Source organism: Homo sapiens, chromosome 5 (genome assembly GCF_000001405.40).
Source record: "Homo sapiens chromosome 5, GRCh38.p14 Primary Assembly".
Classification (NCBI taxonomy): domain Eukaryota; kingdom Metazoa; phylum Chordata; class Mammalia; order Primates; family Hominidae; genus Homo; species Homo sapiens.
Genome location: NC_000005.10, coordinates 94,318,003 through 94,341,893, shown reverse-complemented (window position 1 = coordinate 94,341,893; position 23,891 = coordinate 94,318,003). Strand labels below are relative to the sequence as shown.

The 23,891-nt window shown below is 34.0% G+C and overlaps 1 protein-coding gene across 16 annotated transcripts in view; it reads left to right on the top strand.

Moving 5' to 3' along the window:
- KIAA0825 overlaps window positions 1-23,891 on the top strand; it is a 467,754-nt gene that overhangs the window by 276,711 nt on the left and 167,152 nt on the right. Inside the window, exon 21 of one of the 16 annotated variants that reach the window (XM_017009373.2) lies at window positions 833-8,618. The exons of the other annotated variants lie outside the window; for them this stretch is intronic. Coding sequence (XP_016864862.1) covers window positions 833-866 — 34 coding nt within the window. The 3' untranslated portion in view covers window positions 867-8,618. Of the gene's footprint in view, window positions 1-832; window positions 8,619-23,891 lie in introns of those variants that run through there. 16 annotated transcript variants of the gene reach the window in all.

Below are 23,891 nucleotides of genomic sequence, written 5' to 3'. Positions count from 1 at the left end.
AGATGAGGGGAGTCTTTATTTCCCTCAGTATAGTATATATATTTTTGATCACTCAAATGCCCCATTATTCCAGATTATTGAAATAAATAATTACAGCTGTCATTTTGGTTTAATGTGACAATGAAAATAACTGTAAGAGATAAATCTCCCTTTTTTTTTATTTCACTAGATTGAAAAAGCAATCCATGTACTTTTCATTGACCTCTCTTCACCTCTCTTAATCAAGACATTTCTGTCTAAAATAATATTTGGAAAAGGATAGGCATAAAGAGAGCTGCATGAAAATGCTAACACATCTTCAGTTTCACTCTTTCATTAATGGCCATGCTCTTCCTTTTGCTATTATCTATGGACTCAGCCCTCCATCCTACCTCGAACCCTCATTGCTGTGACAAATGATCAATTCCGTGATTCAGATTCGTTGAGATCAGCTAGGTGTACTCCATGATAATGATGATGATGGATGATGATGAAAGAGATAGCAGCGATGATGATGCTGGGTAGCTAATTTGTAGAACCTTTGAATAGATGTGCCATCCCACATGACAGCAGAAAGTGTGACGGTTTTGTTAGGCATCCATTTTATAAGACAGAGGATTTTAGCAAGTTCTTATATGGGAATTTTAAACAAAACTCTCTGTCTGATATGAAGAAATGTGGCACTTCACATATTTTTAAACTCTGCTTACATAGTATATTAGAAGAAACATTTTTCATATTTTTTCTATAAACATCATTTATCTAACAATTAAAGTAATATCATCTGTTTTATTACACAGATATTATTTTATGCTTGAAACTTTTACTTTTTGAAGCTGAATATTATTAACAGGCTTTCCTTCACCAACACAAAGAAACATCTTTGAGAGACAGAATACCACACTAAAATCATCAGGGACCCATCCGTGGATTTATGCTTAGAAAGAATGGAAGGTAAATATGTAGGTCTATGAAGACCATGTTCTTTCTCCTACTGAATTAATACATCTCAGGCCTCTTCCCAGCACTGCGTTATGCATTTTTTGGGTGAATAATTGAATGATTTTAATTTTGCAAGCTATAAAATTTTATTATATTTTACTTTTTCTCCACTACAACCTGACTCCATCAAGGAGCTCAACTGATGTTTATGCTTGATACTTCAAGTTAGACAGGTATAGCTTGCTGTGCTTTTTAAAGAGTAGCTAACATATGTATCATGTAACATATGTATCATGAGCTTTTTCACATAATGTCAGACTAATTAATGTATTATATTTCACTGCAACAGGATCACATTAGTCTTGATAACTTAATCATTCAGACTGGTCTATTGTCTTCCACCATGAACTTAAAATGATGTAAGTATACTTAGATGCACTGAATTGTGAAAAATATAAAATACGTATGAATATGAACATTTTAAATTGTGAACCAAAATTTGTCTTCATTTTGTATAAATAACTCAGGTAGGTAACCATTAAAGTACGGTTCTTCCTCTGTATCCTTGGATTCTGTATCCAAGGATTCAATTAACCTCAGATTGAAAATATTCCCCCCCAAAAAATGGATGGTTTGTGTCTGTACTAAACATGTACCGACTTTTTTCAGGTCATTATTTCCTAAACAATACAGCATAACAACTATTTTCATAGCACTTACATTGTATTAGGTATTATAAGAACTCTAGAGATGATTTAAAGTATATGGGAAGATGTGTGTAGATTAGAGCATCTGGAGCACCTATGCATTTTGGTATCCAAGAGGATCCTGGAACCAATCCCCCATGGATATCAAAAAACAACTGTATAGGTTAAAAACACAGCATATGTTAACTCAACCAAACATTTTATTTATCATATCAAGGAGAATATGAATAGTATTTTTCAGTGCACATGGGAAAACTTCTAGACACTCTTCAAAAATGATTTCTTTTAAGAGGAATGCTTTCTTTAACCCATAATTGAAGAAAGTAAGATTGGTACTTTTAGAGTTCACTGATGAAAATGGGGATATATTTTAGATTGCTTTTTAAGTTTATAAGGTAGATTTAGTAATTTTAAATAAATATTTGGCCTGTTTCTTAAAGAACAGGACAAGTCTTATGCTACCAAATTCAACTACCATGCTAAATGAGATTCAATACATGTCCTAATTGTATAAGGTTTGTGTTTGGACACAAAAAATGTGGGCCAAACTGACTGAGTTGATGTATAATTATAAGTCTACATGAAAAATGCAATTACGAGTAGTTCCATGGAATTGGAAACTGTGCTTTCTCACATTGTCTCCCGAGTGCCTGGTGAGACATCAGGCTTGGTGGTGGTGGAGAAATACGTGTTGAATGAATGTATGAGAGGAAGCATTTAGAATAAAAATGCGTTGACGCTACAGGAACTAAGACATAAGATATTCAATACGGTTCACCACTGAGTTCTAAAAAACAATGTTTTTCTACTTTGATTTTTAAAAGAACCACAACTCCCAAGTCAATGAGAAAAAGCTTCTGTAAATCAGCCACTAAAGTCTTATTAAATCACAAATACCAAAGATGTAAAAATCTATCTACAATTTTTAGCAACTCATCATACTAAAACTCATCTGGGAAGAAAATATTCATAGGAATTAAAGTGCTTTATTTATAAGAGGCACAATTAAGATGGATGCTCATTTTTAGTGATTAGTATACTACCCCCTAGTTAATAGAATCCTCTAGCTTTCCCCAGAAGATGAGGGTGAGCTAGTGCATTTAGAAGAAAATGGTACCTGTCTACATCTACGAACAGCTTATTTTGCAGAGCGGTATAAAACAAGTTCAATTTTGGTATGTAAAAAAGCATTATTAATATTTTTAAGGAAGAAGAAAGAAATATGTGAAAAAATGATTACAAATATATGTTAAATTATAAGGTTTGATGTCTTTATATAAGGCAAATGTAACAATTTGAATAGTATTTATTTATTTAATAATCTGTTAAAAATTAATGGGCCATTATAGTCTTTATTATTGTAATAGAGAAAAGGACTTTCCTATTTCATATTTGTTCAGTATGTAATAAATCTATTGGATTTTTAAATGTGTTTATACACATATATAATCACTCATTGCTTATTGCTGAGAAATGTGTAATTAGGCAATTTTGTTTTGCAAACATCATAGTGCGTATCTATAAACCTAGATGGTATATGCCTATTATATACCTAGGCTATATGATATAGTCTGTTGCTCCTAGGCTACAAACCTGTACAGCATGTGTCTGTACTGGAATACTGTAGGCAATTGTAACAAAGTGGTATTTGTGTGTCCAAACATAACTAAACAGTACAGTAAAGATATGTTATTATAATAGAAAAAGTACAGTAAAAATATGTTATTATAATCTTACAAGACCAATGTCTTCTATGTAGTTCATTATTGACTGAAATACCATTATGTGGCACATGTGGCACCATATATAGTATACACACACACCCACACATACACACATAAAGTAAATGAAAAGGAGAAATCAGAGCCTGGCATTTTATCCTATAACCTAAGCAGAGTCAAAACGACTACATTTTACTTAAAAAAGGATTCTTTTCCCACATAATTAACATTTAGCTATCTATCCTGACTCAAGGAGATACAGTCATGAAAAGCCCAAAATACTGTAGCATATATACTGCATAAAAAATACTGTTAGATTTTCTTATTGTAACATTAAACATAATTCCTCAATTCAATTCAACCTTCAATGGAGAGAATTATCCCAGCTTAATGGAGAGAATTATCACTCATCTGGTTGAATAAGCTGGGAACCTGGGTGTTGTACTGAACCAGTCTTTCATTCATGCACCCCATTTCCAATCCATCATATATCCATTTATTTCTCTCTCTCCAACCATTCCACTTCTGGTTTCATTTTCACCACTTTAGTGTAAGGTACCATCATCTCCTATGCAGATTACTTCAGGAGCTCGTAACTGGCCTCTGTTCTTCTGTCTACCCAGGTCCTATCCAGTCTCTGCAAGAACAAATCTAATTATGTTATTCTCTTGCTTTAAAAGTCTTCAAAAGCACTTAGAATGAAATCTCAACCTGAAATCTGGCCTACAACTCCTGCATGAGCTGCCCTGCCTGTAGCTCCAGTCTGATTTCATTCCTCACTCACTGTAGGTAACTTCTTATGCCCCAGCCTGTCATGGCCTTCTTTCAGTTCTGGAAATGGTCTATTCTCTTTCCCACTTTGGTGCCTGTGTATGTCCCTGCTCTCTAGACTATTCCTCAGATACACCAACCCTCTTCATTTAAGTTCTCATCAACTTTAATAATAATTCAATGCTAAATTATAATCCATATAGTAAAGAGTAAATGTGCTCATCTCCAGATTTAATCAATAATTATAAATTACAGAACTAACTTGATAAGCTCTTTAAAAAGTGTCAAAGAATAATAAATGTAAACAATAGAGAAACGATAGTATATGTAAATGAAGAATTAACCTAGGATTTATGAGTGGTAGGGTAAGAACAAAGGAAGAATTATACACATTTATTTGAATAAAACCAAATAGCTGAAGAAAGATCTGAATGGACAAATTACAAAATTCACACAAGTTCCAAGCAAGAATCATGAAATAAGATCCATACCAATACGCTGAATTCTTAAAACAACTTTACTGTGGTATAATTTATATACCATAAAACTTAGCTATGTGAATATACAATCTCATTTTTTTTCTAAATTTATAGTTTCCATCACCCCAAAATGTTTCTTTATACAAATCTGCAGTCGATCCTTGCTCCCACCCTCAGCCCTAAAGAACCACGGATCTGCTCTGGACATTTCATATATAAAGAATCATATGATATCTATTTTATACTTGTACTCTGTGGTAATGTTTTTGAGGCACATGTATCAGTTTAAGTAGTTTCTTGTTATTGCTGACTAGTATTCAATTCTTTTAAATGTATTGATACTTATTTAATGGCCTAGCATATGATCCATATTGGAGAATGTTCCATTTTTGCTTGAAAAGAATGTGTATTCTCTGTTGGTGGGAGTGTAAATTAGTTCCGCCATTGTGGAAGACAGTGTGGTGATTCCTCAAAAATCTAGAACTAGAAATACCATTTGGCCCAGCAATCTCATTACTGGGTATATACCCAAAGGATTATAAATCATTCTCCTATAAAGACACATGAACACGTATGCTTACTGCGGCACTATTCACAACAGCAAAGACTTGGAACCAACCCAAATGTCCATCAATGATAGACTAGATAAAGAAAATGTGGCACATATACACCATGGAATACTATGCAGCCATAAAAAAGGATGAGTTCTTGTCCTTTGCAGGGACATGGATGAAGCTGGAAACCATCATTCTCAGCAGACTAACACAGGAACGGAAAACCAAACACTGCATGTTCTCACTCATAAGTGAGAGTTGAACAATGAGAACACATGGACACAAGGAGGGGAACATTACACACTAGGGCCTGTTTGGGGGGTGGGGGGCTAGGGGAGGGATAGCATTAGGAGAAATATGTAATGTAGATGACGGGTTGATGGGTGCAGCAAACCACCATGGCATGTGTATATCTATGTAACAAAACATGCACATTCTGCACATGTATCCCAGAACTTAAAGTATAAAAAAAAAAAAAAGAAAGAAAAGAATGTGTATTGTACTATCATTGGGTGCTCACTTCTATAGCTATTAGTAGAGACAGGGTTTCACCATGTCGGCTAGGCTGGTCTCAAACTCCTGACCTCAGGTGATCCACCCGCCTCAGCCTCCCTAAGTGCTCAGATTACAGGTGTGAGCCACTGTGCCTGGCTGCAATGATTTATGAAACCAGTGTAACCTTGACACTAAATCCTAATGAAGATAATTCTCCTGGAAACTGTAGACAATTATAAATGAGAATATACTAAGCCATATATGAGCAAATCAAATTTGACACAACATTATGGAACAATGCAATGCAATTAACTTAGCTTTATCTTAAAAAGTTAGTGATTATTTAAAATATTATGGCAGTCTGGCAGGGTCAAATTAAAAAGCCATGTGATAATTTTAGTAAGTGACTCAATAATATTAATACACTTCCTGATAAAAATTCTTAGTTATCTAAAACTGAGGTGGATATTCCTTTAACTTAATCTCAACCTAATCATTTTCATCATAATCAATATGGTAAGAGCTAATCTTATTAAAATGGGAATAGGATAAATGCTTGATATAATCAATTATTATTTCATATTATTATTTAGGTTTTAACTCTTGTGGTAAGAGAGGAAATATGTGTAAGTAGTATAATTTGGGGAGAAAATGATATACTATGATAATTATTTCCAATATGATATTTTTACATATAAAATTAATGTGAGAAACAGAATTAAAGAGAGATCAGTTATAAAGCCAGTTTAAAAATAATTGTACAAAATTAATATTTTCTTTATATGGTGGCAATACACTGAAAATATGAGAAATAACAGTAACATCACTAATCCAAGATCACTTGGTACACTCTATGAGAAATATACATAATCTATATTAAGAAAAATGTAAGATTAGACTGAAACAAAAGATAATAAATGAAGACATATAGCATGTTCCAAAGTAGGAAAATTGAATATCATAAAGATGTTATTTTTCCAAACTTAATTTCTAGTTTTACTGCAATTTCTCTCCAAACCTCTACTGAACTTTGGGGGACAGTAAAGTGAGAAACTTGATGACTAATTCTAAATTCATATTGAGGAGTAAATAACAATAGCTATTTTTATTTTAGAAGATAAGTAATGAGGGGGTAATCGAACAACCAGATATTAAACACATAAAAAAATCTGCAATAGTTGAAAGTATAGAATTCATTCAAGAATTGACAAATGAACAGAACAAATCCTGGTTTTATTCAGTTTAATATCTGTGTAAGTCCCTGAGACTTTGAAGTTGTTACAGCATCATAATTTGGTGTATCATGATACACCTTCTGTTTTCTGTGAGATAGGATCCTGTATTTTAAACAGAATTACATGCCAAAATTAAAGCATGTTGCTCTTCTGAGTTTGAAGATCTCACCAAATGGAGAGTGACTTTCCATTACCATGATAAAGCTAGACTTTAAAAAGTAGTTTGTGGCCGGGTGTGGTGACTCACACCTGTAATCCCAGCAGTTTGGGAGGCTGAGGTGGGCAAATTGTTTGAGGTCAGGAGTTCAATACCAACCGGGCCAACATGGTGAAACCCTGTCTCTACGAAAAATACAAAAAATTAGCTGGGCATGGTGGCCCATGCCTGTAGTCCTAGCTACTCAGGAGGCTGAGGCAGGAGAATCACTTGAACCTGGGAGTCGGAGGTTGCAGTGAGCCGAGATTGCACCACTGCAATTCAGCCTGAGCAACAGAATGAGACTTCGTCTCAAAAAAATAAAAAAATTAAAAAAATTAAAAGTCGGTTGTGAAATCTTTATTCTACCTTTTTTCTTCTGGGACCAATAGGAAATTTGTTTATTGGAAGGTAACCAGTGTTTAGCATAACTATTTGGACTTCTTCTGTTGAACTATGTGATATGTTTTGCATAGGCAATCATATCATCTACAAATAGATGTTTCAGTTTTTCCTTTACACTATTTATGTCTTTCATATCTTCTACTTGTCTTACTGCACTGGCTGAGACTTTCTGTATCGTGTTGAACAGGAGTAGCGAAGGCAGACAACTTTTTTTATTCCTGATGTTAAAAAGCATAGTTTATGGTCTTTCACCATTAACTATTATCATTAATCGTAATTTTTTTGTAGATGCACTTTATCAGGTTAAGAAAGTTCCTTCTAATTCTGTGAAGAAAGTCAATGGTAGCTTGATGGGAACAGCATTGAATGTATAAATTACTTTGGGCAGTAGGGCCATTTTCATGATATTGATTCTTCCTATCCATGAGCATGGAATGTTTCTCCATTTGTTTGTGTCCTCTCGTATTTCCTTGAGCAGTGGTTTGTAGTTTTCCTTGAAGAAGTCCTTCAAATCCCTTGTTAAGTTGTATTCCTAGGTATTTTATTCTCTTTGTAGCAATTGTGAATGGAAGTTCACTCATGATTTGGCTCTCTGTGTGTCTGTTATTGGTGTAGAGGAATGCTTATGATTTTTGCACATTGATTTTGTATCCTGAGACTTTGCTGAAGTTGCTTATCAGTGTAAGGACCAAAAAAGATCCTGTATAGCCAAGACAATCCTAAGCAAAAAGAACAAAGCTAGAGGCATCACATTACCTGACTTCAAACTATACTACAAGGCTACAGTAACCAAGACAGCATGGTCCTGGTACCAAAACAGATGTATAGACAAATGGAACAGAACAGAGGCCTCAGAAATAACACCACACATCTACAACCATCTGATCTTTGACAAACCTGACAAAAACAAGCAATGGGTTAAGGATTCCCTATTTAATAAAGATGTTGGGAAAACTGGCTAGCTATATGCAAAAAAACCGATACTGAACCCCTTCCTTAAACCTTATACAAAAATTAACTCAAGATGGATTAAAGGTTTAAACACAAGACCTAAAACGAGAAAAACCCTAGAAGAAAACCTAGGCAATACCATTCAGGACATAGGCATGGGCAAAGACTTCATGACTAAAACACCAAAAACAATTGCAACAAAAGCCACAATTGACAAATGGGATCTAATTAAACTAAAGAGTTTCTGCACAGCAAAAGAAACTGTCATCAGGGAGAGCAGACAACCTACAAAATGGGAGAAAATTTTTCCAATCTATTCATCTGACAAAGGGCTAATATCCAGAATCTACAAGGATCTTAAACAAATTAACAAGATAAAAAGAAACAACCCCATGAAAAAGCGGGTGAAGGATATGAACAGATGCTTTTCAAAAGAAGACATTTATGCAGCCAATAAACATATGAAAAAAAGCTCATCATCACTGGTCATTAGAGAAATGCAAATCAAAACCACAATGAGATACCATCTCATGCCAGTTAGAATGGCAGTTTTCAAAAAGGAAACAACAAATGCTGGAGAGGATGTGGAGAAACAGGAGTGCTTTTACACTGTTGGTGGGAGTGTAAATTAGTTCAACCAATATGGAAGATATTGTGGCAATTACTCAAGGATCTAGAACTAGAAATATCATTTGACCCAGCAATCCCATTACTGAGTATATACCCAAAGGATTATAAATCATTCTAATCATGTAAAAAGACACATGCACACGTATGTTTCTTGCAGCACTATTCACAATAGCAAAGACTTGGAACCAACCCAAATGCCCACCAATGATAGACTGGGTAAAGAAAATGTGGCACATATACAACATGGAATTCTATGCAGCCATAAAAAGGAATGAGTTAATGTCTTTGCAGGGACATGGATAAAGGTGGAAACCATCATTCTCAGCAAACTAACACAGGAACAGAAAACCAAACACCGCATTTTCTCGCTCATAAGTGGAAGTTGAACAATGAGAACATATGGGCACAGCGAGGGAAATGTCACACACCAGGGCCTATCGGGGGTGGTGGCAAGGGGAGGGATAGCATTAGGAGAAATACCTAATGTAGATGACGTGTTGATGGGTGTAGCAAACCACCATGGCACGTGTATACCTATGTAACAAACCTGCATGTTTTGCACATGCATCCCAGAACTTAAAGTATAATTTAAAAAAAAAAAGAAAGAAAAGAAAAGAAAGAAAATTCCTTCTATTTCTGATTTTCTTTTCTTTTTTTTTTTTTTTTTTGAGATGGAGTCTCAGTCTGTCGCCCAGGCTGGAGTGCAGTGGCATAATCTTGGCTCACTGCAAACTCTGCCTCCAGGTTCAAGTGATTCTCTTGCCTCAGCCTCCCAAGTAGCTGGGATTATAGGCACACACCCCTGTGCCTGGGTAATTTTTGTATTTTTAGTAGAGATGGGGTTTCACCATGTTGGCCAGGCTGGTCTCGAACTCCTGACCTCAGGTGATCCACCCACCTAAGGTCCACCCACCTCAGCCTCCCAAAGTGCTGGGATTACAGGTGTGAGCCACCATGCCCAGCCATGTTTCTGATTTTCTGTGTGTGTTTATTGTTTTTAATGAATTGATGTTGAATTTTGTCAAGTTGTTTTTCTGCATCAATTGATAGGATCTTGCAGTTTTTCTTTTTTTCACTTGTTAATATAATGAGTTATATTAATTGATTTTCAAAGTTGAACTATACTTGTATTCCTGGGATAAGCTCCACTTGATTTGTTTGTTAATATTTTGTTGAGGATTTTTCTGTTGATGTTCATGAAAGATACCTGCATGTAGCTTTCTTATAATGTCTTCGTCTGGTTTTAATACTCAGGCAAAGCAGGGTTTGCAGAGTAAATTGTTTCTTCGTTAATTTCCAGGAAGAGATTACATAGAAATGGCATTATTTCTACTTAGACGCTTGGAATAATTTACCAGTGAAACCATTTGGGACTAAAGTTTTCTTTCTGGAAGATTTTAAACTATGAATTAATTTTCTCTGAGAGCTATATACCTATTCTTGTTATCTATTACTTCTTGAATGAGTTGTTTCGAGGAATTGGTTCATTTCATCTTAATGGTCAAATTGATGTGCACAGAGTTCTTCATGAAAAGGAGTAGTCCTTTATTATCCCTTTAATGCTTCTAGAGTCTATAGTGATATCCCTCCTTTTCCTTGTTTTCTTTCTTTTCTTTCTTTCTCTTTCCTTCCTTCCTTCCTTTCTTCTCTTCTTCTTTCTTTCTCTCTCTCTCTCTTTCTTTCTTTTTTTTTTTGAGACAGAGTCTCACTCTTTTGCCCAGACTGGAATGCAGTGGCATGATCTTGGACTGCAACTTCTGCCTCCCAGGTTCCAGCGATTCTCCTGCCTCACCATCCTGAGTAGCTAGGATTACAGGAGCCCACCACCACGTCTGGCTAATTATTTTTGTATTTCTAGTAGAGATGGGGTTTCACAATGTTGGCCAGGGTGTTCTTGAACTCCTGAGCTCAGGTGATTTGTCTGCCTCAGCCTCCCAAAGTGCTGGGATTACAGGTGTGACCTACAGTGCTTGGCCCCTCATTTCATTTCTGATAGTAGTAAGTTGTGTCTTCTCTCTCTCTTTTGAGGGGAAGGGAAGAAAGTCTGAAAAGGTTGATCAATTTAAGCAACCCTTTTAAAGAACTGACTTTTGATTTCATTGATTTTTCTCTATTTTGTTTTTAGTTTTATTGGTTTCTATTCTTTTCATTATTTATTTTGCTGTGCTTTTTTCTAATTTCTTATATCATAATCTTAGATGATTGGTTTGAGATCTTTTCTCTTTTCAACTTCAAGCATTTAATGTTATAAATTTCCCTGCACTGCTTTAATGGCATCTCACAAATTTTGATATGTTGTTTTTCATTTTTATTTAACTAAAAATATTTTTAACTGCCCTTGAGACTTCCTTTGTGAGCCATGGGTTATTTACATTTTTAATATTTGAGTACATTGTGACAATTTTCCAGATATCCTTGTTATTGATTTCTACTTCAATTCCGTTTTGATCAGGTTACATATTTTGTATGATTTCAGCTCAACTAAATATGTTACATTTTGTTATACGGCCCAGAATATGGTCTATGTTATATGTGCACTTGAAATGAATGTTTTCTGCTATCACTGGGAGACCTGTTCTATAAATATGAGTTAGGTCATGTTGGTTAATATTTTTCACCTCTTCTATGTCCTTGCTGGTTTTGTGTCTTTCATTATTCTATGTCCATTTCACCTTTTAGTACTACCACATTGTGCTTTATTGGGTAGGAGAAATTTTGTTACATATATAGATGCATGGTGATCAAATCAGGATACTGAGGGTGTCCATCACCCAAATACACTACATTTTTGTTGAGTATAGTCACCCTACTTTGCTATCAAACATTAAATTTATTCCATCTTACTGTATGTTTGTACCCTTTAAACAGGGTCTCTTCATCTTACTCTGTCTGCAGAACTCACCCAGTATCTGTTATCTATCTTTCTACTCTTTACCTCTGTGTGATCAAATTTTTTAGCTCCCACATATAAGTGAGAACATAGGATATTTGTCTTTGTGTGCTGGCTTATTTTATGTAAGATAATATACCTGCTATAGAGTTTCTGATTCAACATACTGTAGGGCAAAATAAAAAAAGGGGGGGAGGGAAAAAATTAAGGAACTCACTGCCACCAGGTGAGTCTTTATTCACGTCTTGATTTCCCTTCCTAATTTGCGTATTATTTACTTTTCACAGTCCTTAAGTAATTTTGTTTTGTTTTTTATTTTGTCTAGTGTTCTTAGTTCTATCAATGTGAGAAATCAACTACAGTAGACTTACTCCATTTTCTCCCAAACCAGAACTCTACATTTCAAAATATACTACATTCATATACATATATAACTTGATATTTTTACCAGAAAGGCCAAAGAATTATTTCTACTTTGAAGATCAGTTATCTCACCAGCATAGGTTTTGCTTTTATCATTCTGTGTTAATTTTCCCAAGGAAATGCTATGTCCTTTCAATCTGTATATTCAAGTCTCACATTTTTTCTGGAAAGTTTTCTTAAATTATGTCTTTGGATATTTTTCCCATTTCATTTGCTCAGTTCTTTTCTTTAGGGACACCAATTATGCTTATGTTGGATCGCTTTCAGTGCTTTCCATATCTTATATCTTTTATCTTTAGTTTGTTTCTATCTTATTTTCTCAATTAAAAAAAACCTTCTATGTCTGTGCTTCTTTTTGTTGCTCCCAACATGACCTTCAGAAAACAAAATAACTTTAATAAATACTGAGGTAATGTGGCAAAATTTCCATTTCTTTGGGTTTAGAGTTGAGGATAAGATATATTTTGACAATTCTTGGTGTGGTCTCAGGAAGTTGCATAGTATTTCCCCATAACCACCTAGAAATCTGTTTCTAAAAGACACACCTAACAAAACAATAAAATTTACTTTAGAAATGTGACTTTATTTCTTTATATCTACATGTGTAGTCATATTTGAAACATACTTTTAGTTTAATAACTAATTTTAAACAGGAGGACTTATATTTGTTATTATTCTTCATCAAAATTATTCCTTTAACATTTGAAAAGATTTAAGTCTTGTAATTATTGCAAAGGAACATCTGCAGTTTTTTTTTTCTAGCTCTCATTGTAACATTTATTATACAAAGTGCATTTCAAGCAAAGGAGAATGGTATTTGACTAAATGCCATTATTTTCCTCAGTATATCTTATTATAATGGGTATTTTATTATCGATCTATTGTAGTTCAAAACATTAGTAAATAATATAGTAAAAATTGATCATATGACTTTATTCCTGTTATTTCTTTTTAAAAGTAGTACATGCTGATTTTTTTATATCACGCTATGTTCTCATTTAATCAATCTCCTTTTAAACAGTGACAAGAGAATGCAATATCAATCTCTATTCACTTTATTGTTCTATAAGATCCTGTATTGTTAAAGGTGAGAAAATGGAATCATTTTAAAAGATCTATATTTACAATTTTAGCCTATAAATACTATCAAAGGAATTTATTGCCACCATAAGAGCAGTATGTAACTAATGGAAGACACCTAAGAACTTTCTTACATAACATTTTTATAATTACACATAAATTAGTAACCATTTCTGCAAGATTAATTTTTATGTTCTGTATATATGATAATAAATTGATTCAATTATGAAACATAAAAATGCCTTTAAATGCAGTGCAGTAATATATGCTTAATACAACAAATTTTGTTACTGTGTCAGAAGAGGTGACTCTATTATCTATTACAATGACTGCCTATAAACTATTGATGACTTGAAAAAAATCAGAGATGACATACATATTAAATATTGATTATAAAAGTAAGATTTAGAAAACATGAGTTCTTTTTTTTTGAGACGGAGTCTAGCTCTGTCACCAGGCTGGAGTGCAGTGGTGCAGTCTTGGCTCACTGCAACCCCTGCCTCCCAGGTTCAAGCAATTCTCCTGCCTCAGCCTCCTGAGTAGCTGGGACTACAGGCCCGCACCACCACGCCCAGCTAATTTTTGTATTCTTAGTAGAGACGGGGTTTCACCTTGTTGGCCAGGATGGTCTTGATCTCTTGACCTCATGATCTGCCCACCTCAGCCTCCCAAAGTGTTGGGATTACAGGCATGAGCCACCGCACCCAGCCAAAAACATGAGTTCTTTACTCCAAAAACCCTCTTGAAAGTATTAGTTTATACCCAAAATAATATAGGTTTTCAGGCAAATATTTGAAAAGAAGGTTGAAAACAGGGAACCAACACAGTACATTTGAATTTGATTTTATTGTTGTCAAGTGTGCCACTTTACCGGGACTTGGTATAAATGAGAGATAACTGTATAGCACATGTAATTTTCTTGGACTGAACAAAAAAATCAGCAAAGTCACGATTTCTCATTGTGGATAACAAATATACCTGTAGAGACGGTGATGAAGAGATAGAAATGAGTTTTTATTTCCCCTTCCTCATACTGAATTGCCTATAGAATAAGAATAAAATCTAAAGGACAGTTTTTTTTTTTTCTTCATAAAGTAGTATTCATGTTCTATGCTTTCCTGGAAATGTAAATAAAGGTGGAAGCATGTAGAACAAGCTTCAGTATGGCTGGATTAATAATTTAAAAAGGAACTGAAGAGTACATAGAAACATGCACCCTGCCATTCAGCCACCTCTCACCCCTTATTAACATTTGCTGAGCATCAACTTATAACATAAAAAATCAGAGCTCTTAGATCATTTAAAGCAATCTTGCTGTAAATCCCCATGTAGTATTCCTTAAGTGTGAGAACTATAGGTACCCTCAAACACCAGCGTTCAGCTTCTATATAGACCACTTAGCATAATTCTTTTTTCTCTATAGTTTTAAATGTGTGGGAACATGTGATCAGGGTCCTTTTTATATTCAAAATGGGTCAGCTTCTGTCTAGAAAGTGTCTTATTGTCATGATGTCACCACATCTCAAGATTTGTGACCTTTTGCACCATATGGATTCATGGTAGTCCACATCCTAGTTTACAGGCCAGAGTGCTTTTGTGCCCCCGCTAGGGGGTATCAAAGCCTTTTGGACTGGAATTTCAAGTACCGATAGATTTGGAAAAACAAAAAGTAATTTTTATATCCTAAGGACCGCCAGATGTCGCAAAGGCATCATTGATGAAGCGGGTTTTATCCAAAATGTGGCACTTACATAAGGAATACCAGTATTGTGTCTGAGAGTTACAGAGGCCATAACAGGTCAGTGAAATGTCCTTCAAACATCTGATTTTTACATTCAAGAATGGGCCAAGATGAAAAGATAACCACATATCTGACATTGATGTTACTACCATTTAGACAACCGATTCAATTGCCTTAGTCAGTGAGATCAATCAGGCCTTTATTACTTTGAAAAACCACAGAAACGATATAGTTTTTCTTTTTCTTTAAAAATGATGGTTTGGAACTACATCTTACCACTATACTTTAGCTATCACATTAAATGCTTCGTAGAAGCACTTATAAACTTTCGTAACTCCCCCTACCTCCTAAGTTTAAAGCATTTTATGAGATGTACAAAATTATAATAATGAAAGAAATGCTGCTGAGTGAATTTCTGCCGAGCCAAACTGTATGCATAAATTGGCAGTTTAACAAGTAAAACTTGGAAGCAAGCATTTGATGATTGATTTTTTATTGAGACAGAACAAGCATGATAGTGGGTAAAGTGATTTTCCTTATTGAGAGAAAATATAGTGTTTTTCAACATGTCTCTAGTATGAATGGAAGCCTTGTCAAAAAAATGGAGCAACACATAATATCTTTAAAAAGGTGAATTAATATATCACTTATTTTATGGATCAAATTTTATACTTGTCATTTTTATTCATAATGTCATAAAGTTTATACCATAAAGGTAGTATTATTACCTTTGTTATGTTCTGAAAAAAAACTCTGATATTAACTGCTTTGTAAGTATATTATAAAATACCTTCAGTTGAAGAAATGCAGTAATGAAAATTAGGGCCAAAATATGTATTCACATGTAGATCTTCAGCAACTCCCTCCGTAATTTTAAGTACTTGAAATACATTATTCAACAAGTAACCTGCTGTATATCTGTATGTAATTCTCTGCTTGAGAATGCAAGAACTGTCAAGATAAAAATAAGAAGCATGCATCATTCTAATTTAATTACAATTCATCAAAAATTCCTCTATTGTATGTATTACAGGGAACTGTATAAACTTTCTTATAAAAGTAATCATATACTAAAGTTAATTGAGATTTGCTGTTAGAATTTTTATATATTTTCTATTGCTTAAGGAATGTATGTGTTGATACATACATCAACATGTATGTGCACATGCTGAATATTTGATTTATGTGTATTATTTCTGCATCTATTTTATAGTCACATCCATGGGAAAATTTAAATGATGAATATGAATTTCTTTATAGAGAGTTCTTTTCAAGTTTGCAAATGTACATTTATTTTCAATTGTGTTTTCTAGCCATAATTTTAAATTCTACTTAGCTGTGGCTATATTATTCCCACTTGGAATTAAATGTATAATAACATAAGGAGGGCATACTCCTGCTGTTTTTCTGGATTTAATTAGTAGGCAATGTATGAATCCATGGTCCTATTACATTTGAGTATACCATAGGTCCATGTTCTATGTGAAAGATTATCTGTATTTTATTCTAAGACTTTATGTATATTTAACCTTTAATTTGACTAGCAGGTTGTATGATTTACATAAAAAATAGATCAGCTTTGAATTCACTGAATGTTTTCATATAACATAATCAATCATCTCTAAATGTTAATGGTGTTAAAGAGCAATGAGAGCATATGTCTTATATTTGTAATCCTGTGGATTTATGAAATTATTTGGGATGTCTAAGAGCATTAGATCATGGCATTTCTCTGTAGTTAGGGTTCAGAATTTTTTTTAGTGGCAGGTATCATTTTAATGAATTTGGAGAATCGGCCAAATATAAGTGCTTTCTTTTTAAACCAGAAATTACCTAATAGGTACCCTTTTTAAATGATGAATTACCTAATAGATGCCTTTTACTAGAAGATTCTTATGAATAAAGGTATATAGGTAGACTATAATATGGTGCTTAAAATGCTGTGACCTTGTCTCATTTTCTTTTCATTATCTTTTAAAAAATTTGACTTTCATTGGTGTTATCCTGATTACATCATGTACATAATTTCTCAATGAAATAAAAAGTCAATATATGAATGACTGTAGTAAGGGGAAAACAGGATTTAAAATGGTAAAAAAATCTGCTGTGGTAACAAAGACTGAATCAATTCCTCTGTTGTGTAGCAGCTTGATCATATCTTTAAAACTGGTAGTAACAAAGAATATTTATTTGTTGCCATGCTATTGTAGGATTTATTTTTAAACTCAAATCCCAATTATCAAGAAAATTGCATCCTCTTTATCTCACAGAAGGGCATACGGAATCATAGCATATTTGGTTATTGGAACTATAATATTGTTACCTTGCTTAAAACACATGGTCTCTCTTGATATACAAGAAAAAACTGAATCCATTTCAATAAATTAATAGGGATGAGAATCCCAATCCATCCTTCTTTTCAGAGGTTCGCATACATTGTAATGAAATGCATTAGGAGTTTTCTTCACTTGAAATCCAAATGAGACCCATTTTGGCTCACACCCTTGACAGTCTCTTTTATAAGCATTGCTGTCTCCTGTTCTTGTGTGGGCCTAGTAAAATGCTTCCTTTGTAAGATGCACAGAGACAATATAATGCCACGAAAGACGAAGGTGTCAAAACACAAAGTTGGAGGCAATCTAATCAATGCCTCCTGATTTAGCCTTTGAAGGCTCTCTTCATTAAAACTCTTTAATGGTGAGGCTTATCTTGAGGTAGAGCTGTTACTTAATATTTTTCAGTGTCATTCTTTGGACAGTCATTTGTACCTTTTAAATGTATTTTCAGTATTCATTGTTTAGTAAATTGGATGTCTTGTTAGCATGGTGGTGGTATGAATGACTTGCATCAAAATGATTGAAGGTAATAGGGTATAAATTCTTGGTACATTTTTTTCCCTATCCCCTAATCTCCATCTTTCCCTCCAACAAAATATCTTATTTTCTTTCTAAATATCAGGTGTAGGATGCCATTAGACACTTTCTAAAAACAGATATTTAGATGTTTTTTCATATACAAGAATCGGATTGGAAATCTAAAATTAACTCAAAGCAATTAAAGTTTCTGTTTAAACGGAGTGTCTTGCCATTGCCATTCTTTTACTGAATACACTTTTCAAATTAATTTTTTTTTTTTTTTGGTCTGGAGCTTTTGGGAAAAGCATGTAAATCTCACTAAAGTGATGAAAAAAAAATCCCAAATGTCCGTTGCTCTCTTGAATTTTTGTTTCTCAGTAAGTAGATAAGGAATGCTGAGAGATTGGAGAGACATAACACGTAACCAGTTCCAGATAGGGTTGTGAACTTAGGAATTGTCTCTGTATCAGACATCCTTTCAAAATGTTTTATTTTCATAGATGTGAAAATATACAAAATGTTTTTGAATCTTCACTAGCCTCATCCCTCAGCAATTTGTTCAAATTTAATAAATGAAAAACTTATAATTTTTGTATTTTTCTTTTGTACATGAACCAGATGGCATCATGATTTGACAAAATAAAAATACATAGAGGATACATTAAAGAGTATTTTGTTAATGATGTGTGTGAGTGTATCTCTATTTAGACTCATATATTATACGCACACAACGTGTGTTCGAAAGCCATATCCATCGAGCAGTAAATAGGCCTTAGTTTTGTTTATTCACAGAGTATGTAATCCCTACCATAAACAGATGTAACAAATACATATGCCTTTGCATTGGCACATTCACGTAAGCCATTTAAAAAACCCAAGAAATCAGGAGCTTAATTTCTTTTAACATCACCAACTTAAAAAAAAAAAAGTTCACAGAATGCCCTTGCTGTCCTTTCCACCTCAATCTATGATTATCAATAAAAATGAATAATTTATAAAATATGGAAAATAGAAAAGGATAAGCATCACAGAATTTATGTGCAAGGTATCTTGAAAATGGAAAAGAATTCTAGCAACTTTGACCTGATTTTTAAATTATTACAGTGGTGACTACAGCTGCTCTAGCTTAGTAATTATTTGTGATAGGTTGTTTTTGAGTCCCATATGTATAGGAGCTCCAGGCCCAGCTACCTCATTTGCTGGCACACAAACAGATTCTTCCAGGTGCTGAAAATTAAATTTTAATATATTATTTAAATATTAAGAGAATTACAGTTTCAGTAATTTTACTGCTACAGCTGGAGTGCAAGGCATGCCTGTAGAATGCAGAGTGTTGAACAATCTAACATATAGGATGTTTATAGTGATTTTAAAAAGTATTAGCTTATATGTTTAACGGATGTTGGCCCTATTTGGCAGTTAGATTACGTATGAGTAACCTTGATTTAGTCTGGGGACCCTTTGCCCTATTGCAAACTATTATTTATTTGTCTTTTTAGGTTATTTACCTAAAAAACCCTGATTTTTAGGTTATTTACCTAAAAAGACAAACATATCCATGGCACAGAAATTTAAGCTGCTAAAAAGTATATGGATAAGAAATCAATGCCTAATGTGGCTTAGTACATCTGTATTATTCTGTGCTAAAAAGAGTTTTAAAGTCCAAATAATTTTTTAATTTCTTTGGTTTCTACTTTACAATGAGAATGACCTCAAAAAGTTGTTGGCTATCAGATAAAATGCTAACAAACATTTAGTTTTAAGGACCCTAAAAACACATGATTCATCATTAACTTGCCTCTTGAAATTTTTGTGTGGCCTTTAATGTATTAAAGTTGTGTAAAAACCAATTTAAGATAATGTTTATAAAGTATGATGCCTTTTGTTTGGAATTCAGAGTAGGGAATACATTTAAAATAAAATTTTATGTCACAATAATTTGTAATTTAATTTTCTATGATAAAGTCTTGCTCTTCTAGGAATTCTATACCTTCAGTATCACTAATTAAAATGTATTTTCTGTTAAATATGATTTTAACCAATGTACCTTTAAAGAATGGAAGAAAACTAGAAGATGTGCAATGTGTTAATAAACTGTTTACCATGACCAACATTTTCAGAACAAAAGGGTGATTTGCTGCCCTCAATGTACAGTATGAGGAAAAACTTCCCATCAATGATAATCTGTTGCATATGAAAACTGTGTTTTACTAACTAATGTACATTTTGCTAGCAGAATCATGGAACAAGCTGCAAATGATATAATTTCACAGTGGTTAAGTTTACATGCTTTACTTAGACTCATATCTCAGCTCTACCATCTTCTAGCTGTGTGATTTTGAACAGCCTACCTTTCAGTGCCTCACTTTTCTTATATGTAAAATGGAGTTACTTTGTAAGGTTGTTTCAAGGATTAGATGGTTTATCAAATAAAAAACTTCAAATAATAGCTGGCCCAAAGTAATCACTTTATAGATATCAGTTATTTTAGTAGTGGTATTTATATATTTAAAGATAATTTTATTGTTAGCTACTCACTTTGAGTACATGACAAGTAAATAAAATCAAATACTCAATTTTGTAGCTCTCAAAGGGCTTTAGTATTTGTGCAAAAGGTAGCCAATGACCTTGGGGTATTTAACCCATTAAAATAAATGAACTCCTTACCCTTGGCATTTTTACTTTAGATCATAGTAGTAGGCCATTTATAGTTTCATTCATAACTCCAGATACAGCGTGAAAAACTGTGACACAAACTGTCAAATAGTAAAATATTTAACAAAATCTCACTAGGAAAAGTTACATAACTACTTCTTAAATCTCAGAACACATTTTAAAAATATAAGAGTAAAGAATTTGTCAGCCTTTTCATTTTCCCTTCTCCTGTAGCATAATTCTAGAAAGTACTTACTTTTAAAAGTCTTAACTGCTTTTGAAGAATCAGGCTGGTTGAGAAAATTATTCCAAAAAAATTGTGCAAAGTATATTCTGAAAGAAGGATTAAAGTCCATGTAACATAACATTTTTCTTTTGTAAAACATGATTTATGTGTGTCAATATGAGTAACCAATATTTTTCTATTGTAAATCATGAAAGATTTGGAGTGTCTGAATGAGCAATTAACATACATACACTGAGTACCTAGTTTGGATCACAACCATTTTAGGCTGTAGAGGGGTAGATAGACAGCAAGTTGGATAAAATCCTTACTTTCATGAAGTTTACATTCTATGGAGAGCAGACAATAAACCAGTGAATAAATATGTAACATAATGTTGATGTCAAGGAGGCGTAGAGTAGAATAACATACCAGAAGCTGGGAAGGGTGTGGGAAGTGCAGGGGTGTGGGGTGGTGGTGAGGGGGGTGGATGAAGACAGGTTGGTCAATGGGTACAAACATACACTTAGTATTTAAGTTCTAGTGTTCGAAGGTAGAGTAGGGTGACAATAGTTAATAACAATGTATCATATGTTTCAAAATAGCTAGAAGAGAGGACTTGAAATGTTCCTAACACATAGCAATGATAAATACAAGAGGTAATGGATACCCTAAACATCCTAACTTGATCATTACATATTCTATGCATGTAACAAAATATCACATGTACCCCATAAATATGTACAAATATTATGTATCAATAAAAAGTAACATAATGTCAGGTAGTAATAAAAGCTATGAAGTAAAGCCCATACAGATATAGGGTAGGTGCTTTTGAAAGTGGGAAAACCAGGGAAGACATCTGTAAGAAAATATTTGTGTGATCCAAGGGATCAAGCCATGGAAATTTCTGGGGACAAGCACATCATGCATAGGGAACAGCATATGCTATTCTGTTCAGAGACAGAAACAAGCTTCACATAGTCCAGGAAGAACAAGAAGACCCTTAGGACTGGAGCTAAATGAGTAGGGGGAGAGACAAAGGAGAGGAGGTCAGAGAGGTAACCAGAGACTAGATTGAATGGTAGGCTGATTTTGTATGATAGCAAGTCTTTGGAAGGTGTTGGAGTTGAAGGAATGCAATCTGACTTATACTTTAAAAATACTGTCTGACTGCTATAAGAAGCATAGACTCTAAAGGTAGAAAGAGTGGAAATAGAAAAGTTGGAATTAGGTTGATGGGGATAGTAAAAAGTAATTGGACTTTGGCATCTATTTTGAAGATCCTGAGTTAAACAATATGAAAAATAGAACTCAAAAGATTGCTGATAGATTGTGAGATATGAAAGAAACAAATCAAGGATGTCTCCCAGGCCTGAGCAACTATATGAATGAGCATATGATTATTGAGATGAGGAAACCTGGGAGAGAATCAAGTTTTGGGGAAAAATCAAGAATTCTCTTTTGGAGATACTACGTTTGATAGGGCTTTAAGACATCTAGGAAGAGTAGGAGATGGACATAGTAATATGGGACTCAGGAGAGATTGAGGTTGGAATTAGTGGGCTGTAATCAGCATACAGATGGTATTTATAAGCCATGATGGACTTGACTAAAATCATCTTGGATTGAGATCTGGGGGCCTAGGGCACTCCAACATTTAGAAGTTGGAAGGAGGAGGATCCAGTTAGGAGACTGAGAATGGTCACTGGAGTAGGAGAAAAACTAGCAGAATATGGTGTTCTGAGAGCCAAGTGAGGCTCTCAGGGAGAGAGGGAGTGATCAAGGGACACTATTTGTCTCCTTTGAGTCACTTGTCACTTCAAACACAAATGTTTACAGCCAGCCCCTGGCTTCAGACATCCCTATCCTTGTCAGTCACCACACTTGGACTTATTTCCTTTCCCTTTATCTCTCATCAATATCAAGCCTGGTGCTATCATCTACAGAAATATATCTTCCTTACCCACTGGTTTCTCATGGTGCTTCTCACTTTGCCCTGGTGTTAGTTTAGGGCTGACCCAGGACAAGCTTTGTGGGGACAAGGAGGGGTAGTATTATGAAGAAAAAAATCCGTCTTCAGGCTCTCCTCTTTTCCTATCTGTTGCTGCTGCCACAATGCCAACGTTCCTGGTCCTGTCCTACTTCCTCAACTTCTTCCAACTTCCTGCAGATCCCAGCCTGCTTAGTTCTTCTATGTAACGTTATGTTGGCTAATAATTATTGACCTTTTACTATGTAGCAGAAAATAGCAAATTTAGTATTAGCCTTTACTCTTCCTGATCTGTTGAGTCTGTTTCTTTCCTGTAAAAGGAAATAAATTTGCATCTGTTCTCTGTGCTCTCAGAGCTCAGACCATTGTACCACCTCCCCTTTCCTAGTCTCCAATAATTGGTGGAACCAGTCTGGCTTTAGCAAGGACAGATGTGCATTTTCTACAGGAAATTATTTTCCATATATGGCTACTAATTTCTACAGTAAATTACGAGTCAGATGGCTTTTTTCTAAAGTAGCCTTATCCTACTTCATCGTATTAATATTATTTGTATGAGAAAATGTATTTCAATTTCTTATAATCAGTTTACTAATAAAATTTCAGAAAATAATCCACTACAATTGAAGAATGGTTTTGTGTATTTATAGCCATCTTGCCTAATTTTATATCTATCATATAATGTGCATACATATACCTATAAATGCTTATATATAATCTATAATAGACTAACTACTAATGAGTCTATATTTAAATTTTCGGAAATGTGCAAACTAGACATTTTACACTGAAATAAACTATTCTATATTGCTTTTAAATTGTTTTATTAATTTTAACTTTTTGAATTATAGAACTTTAATTTTTGCCTTTGACTAATTCTCTCTCTAATCTTTTTACTTTCTAAATTAATGAATTTAAAAGCATATTCCACTGCAGAAAAAAATGGTATATAAGAATTGGGCATTT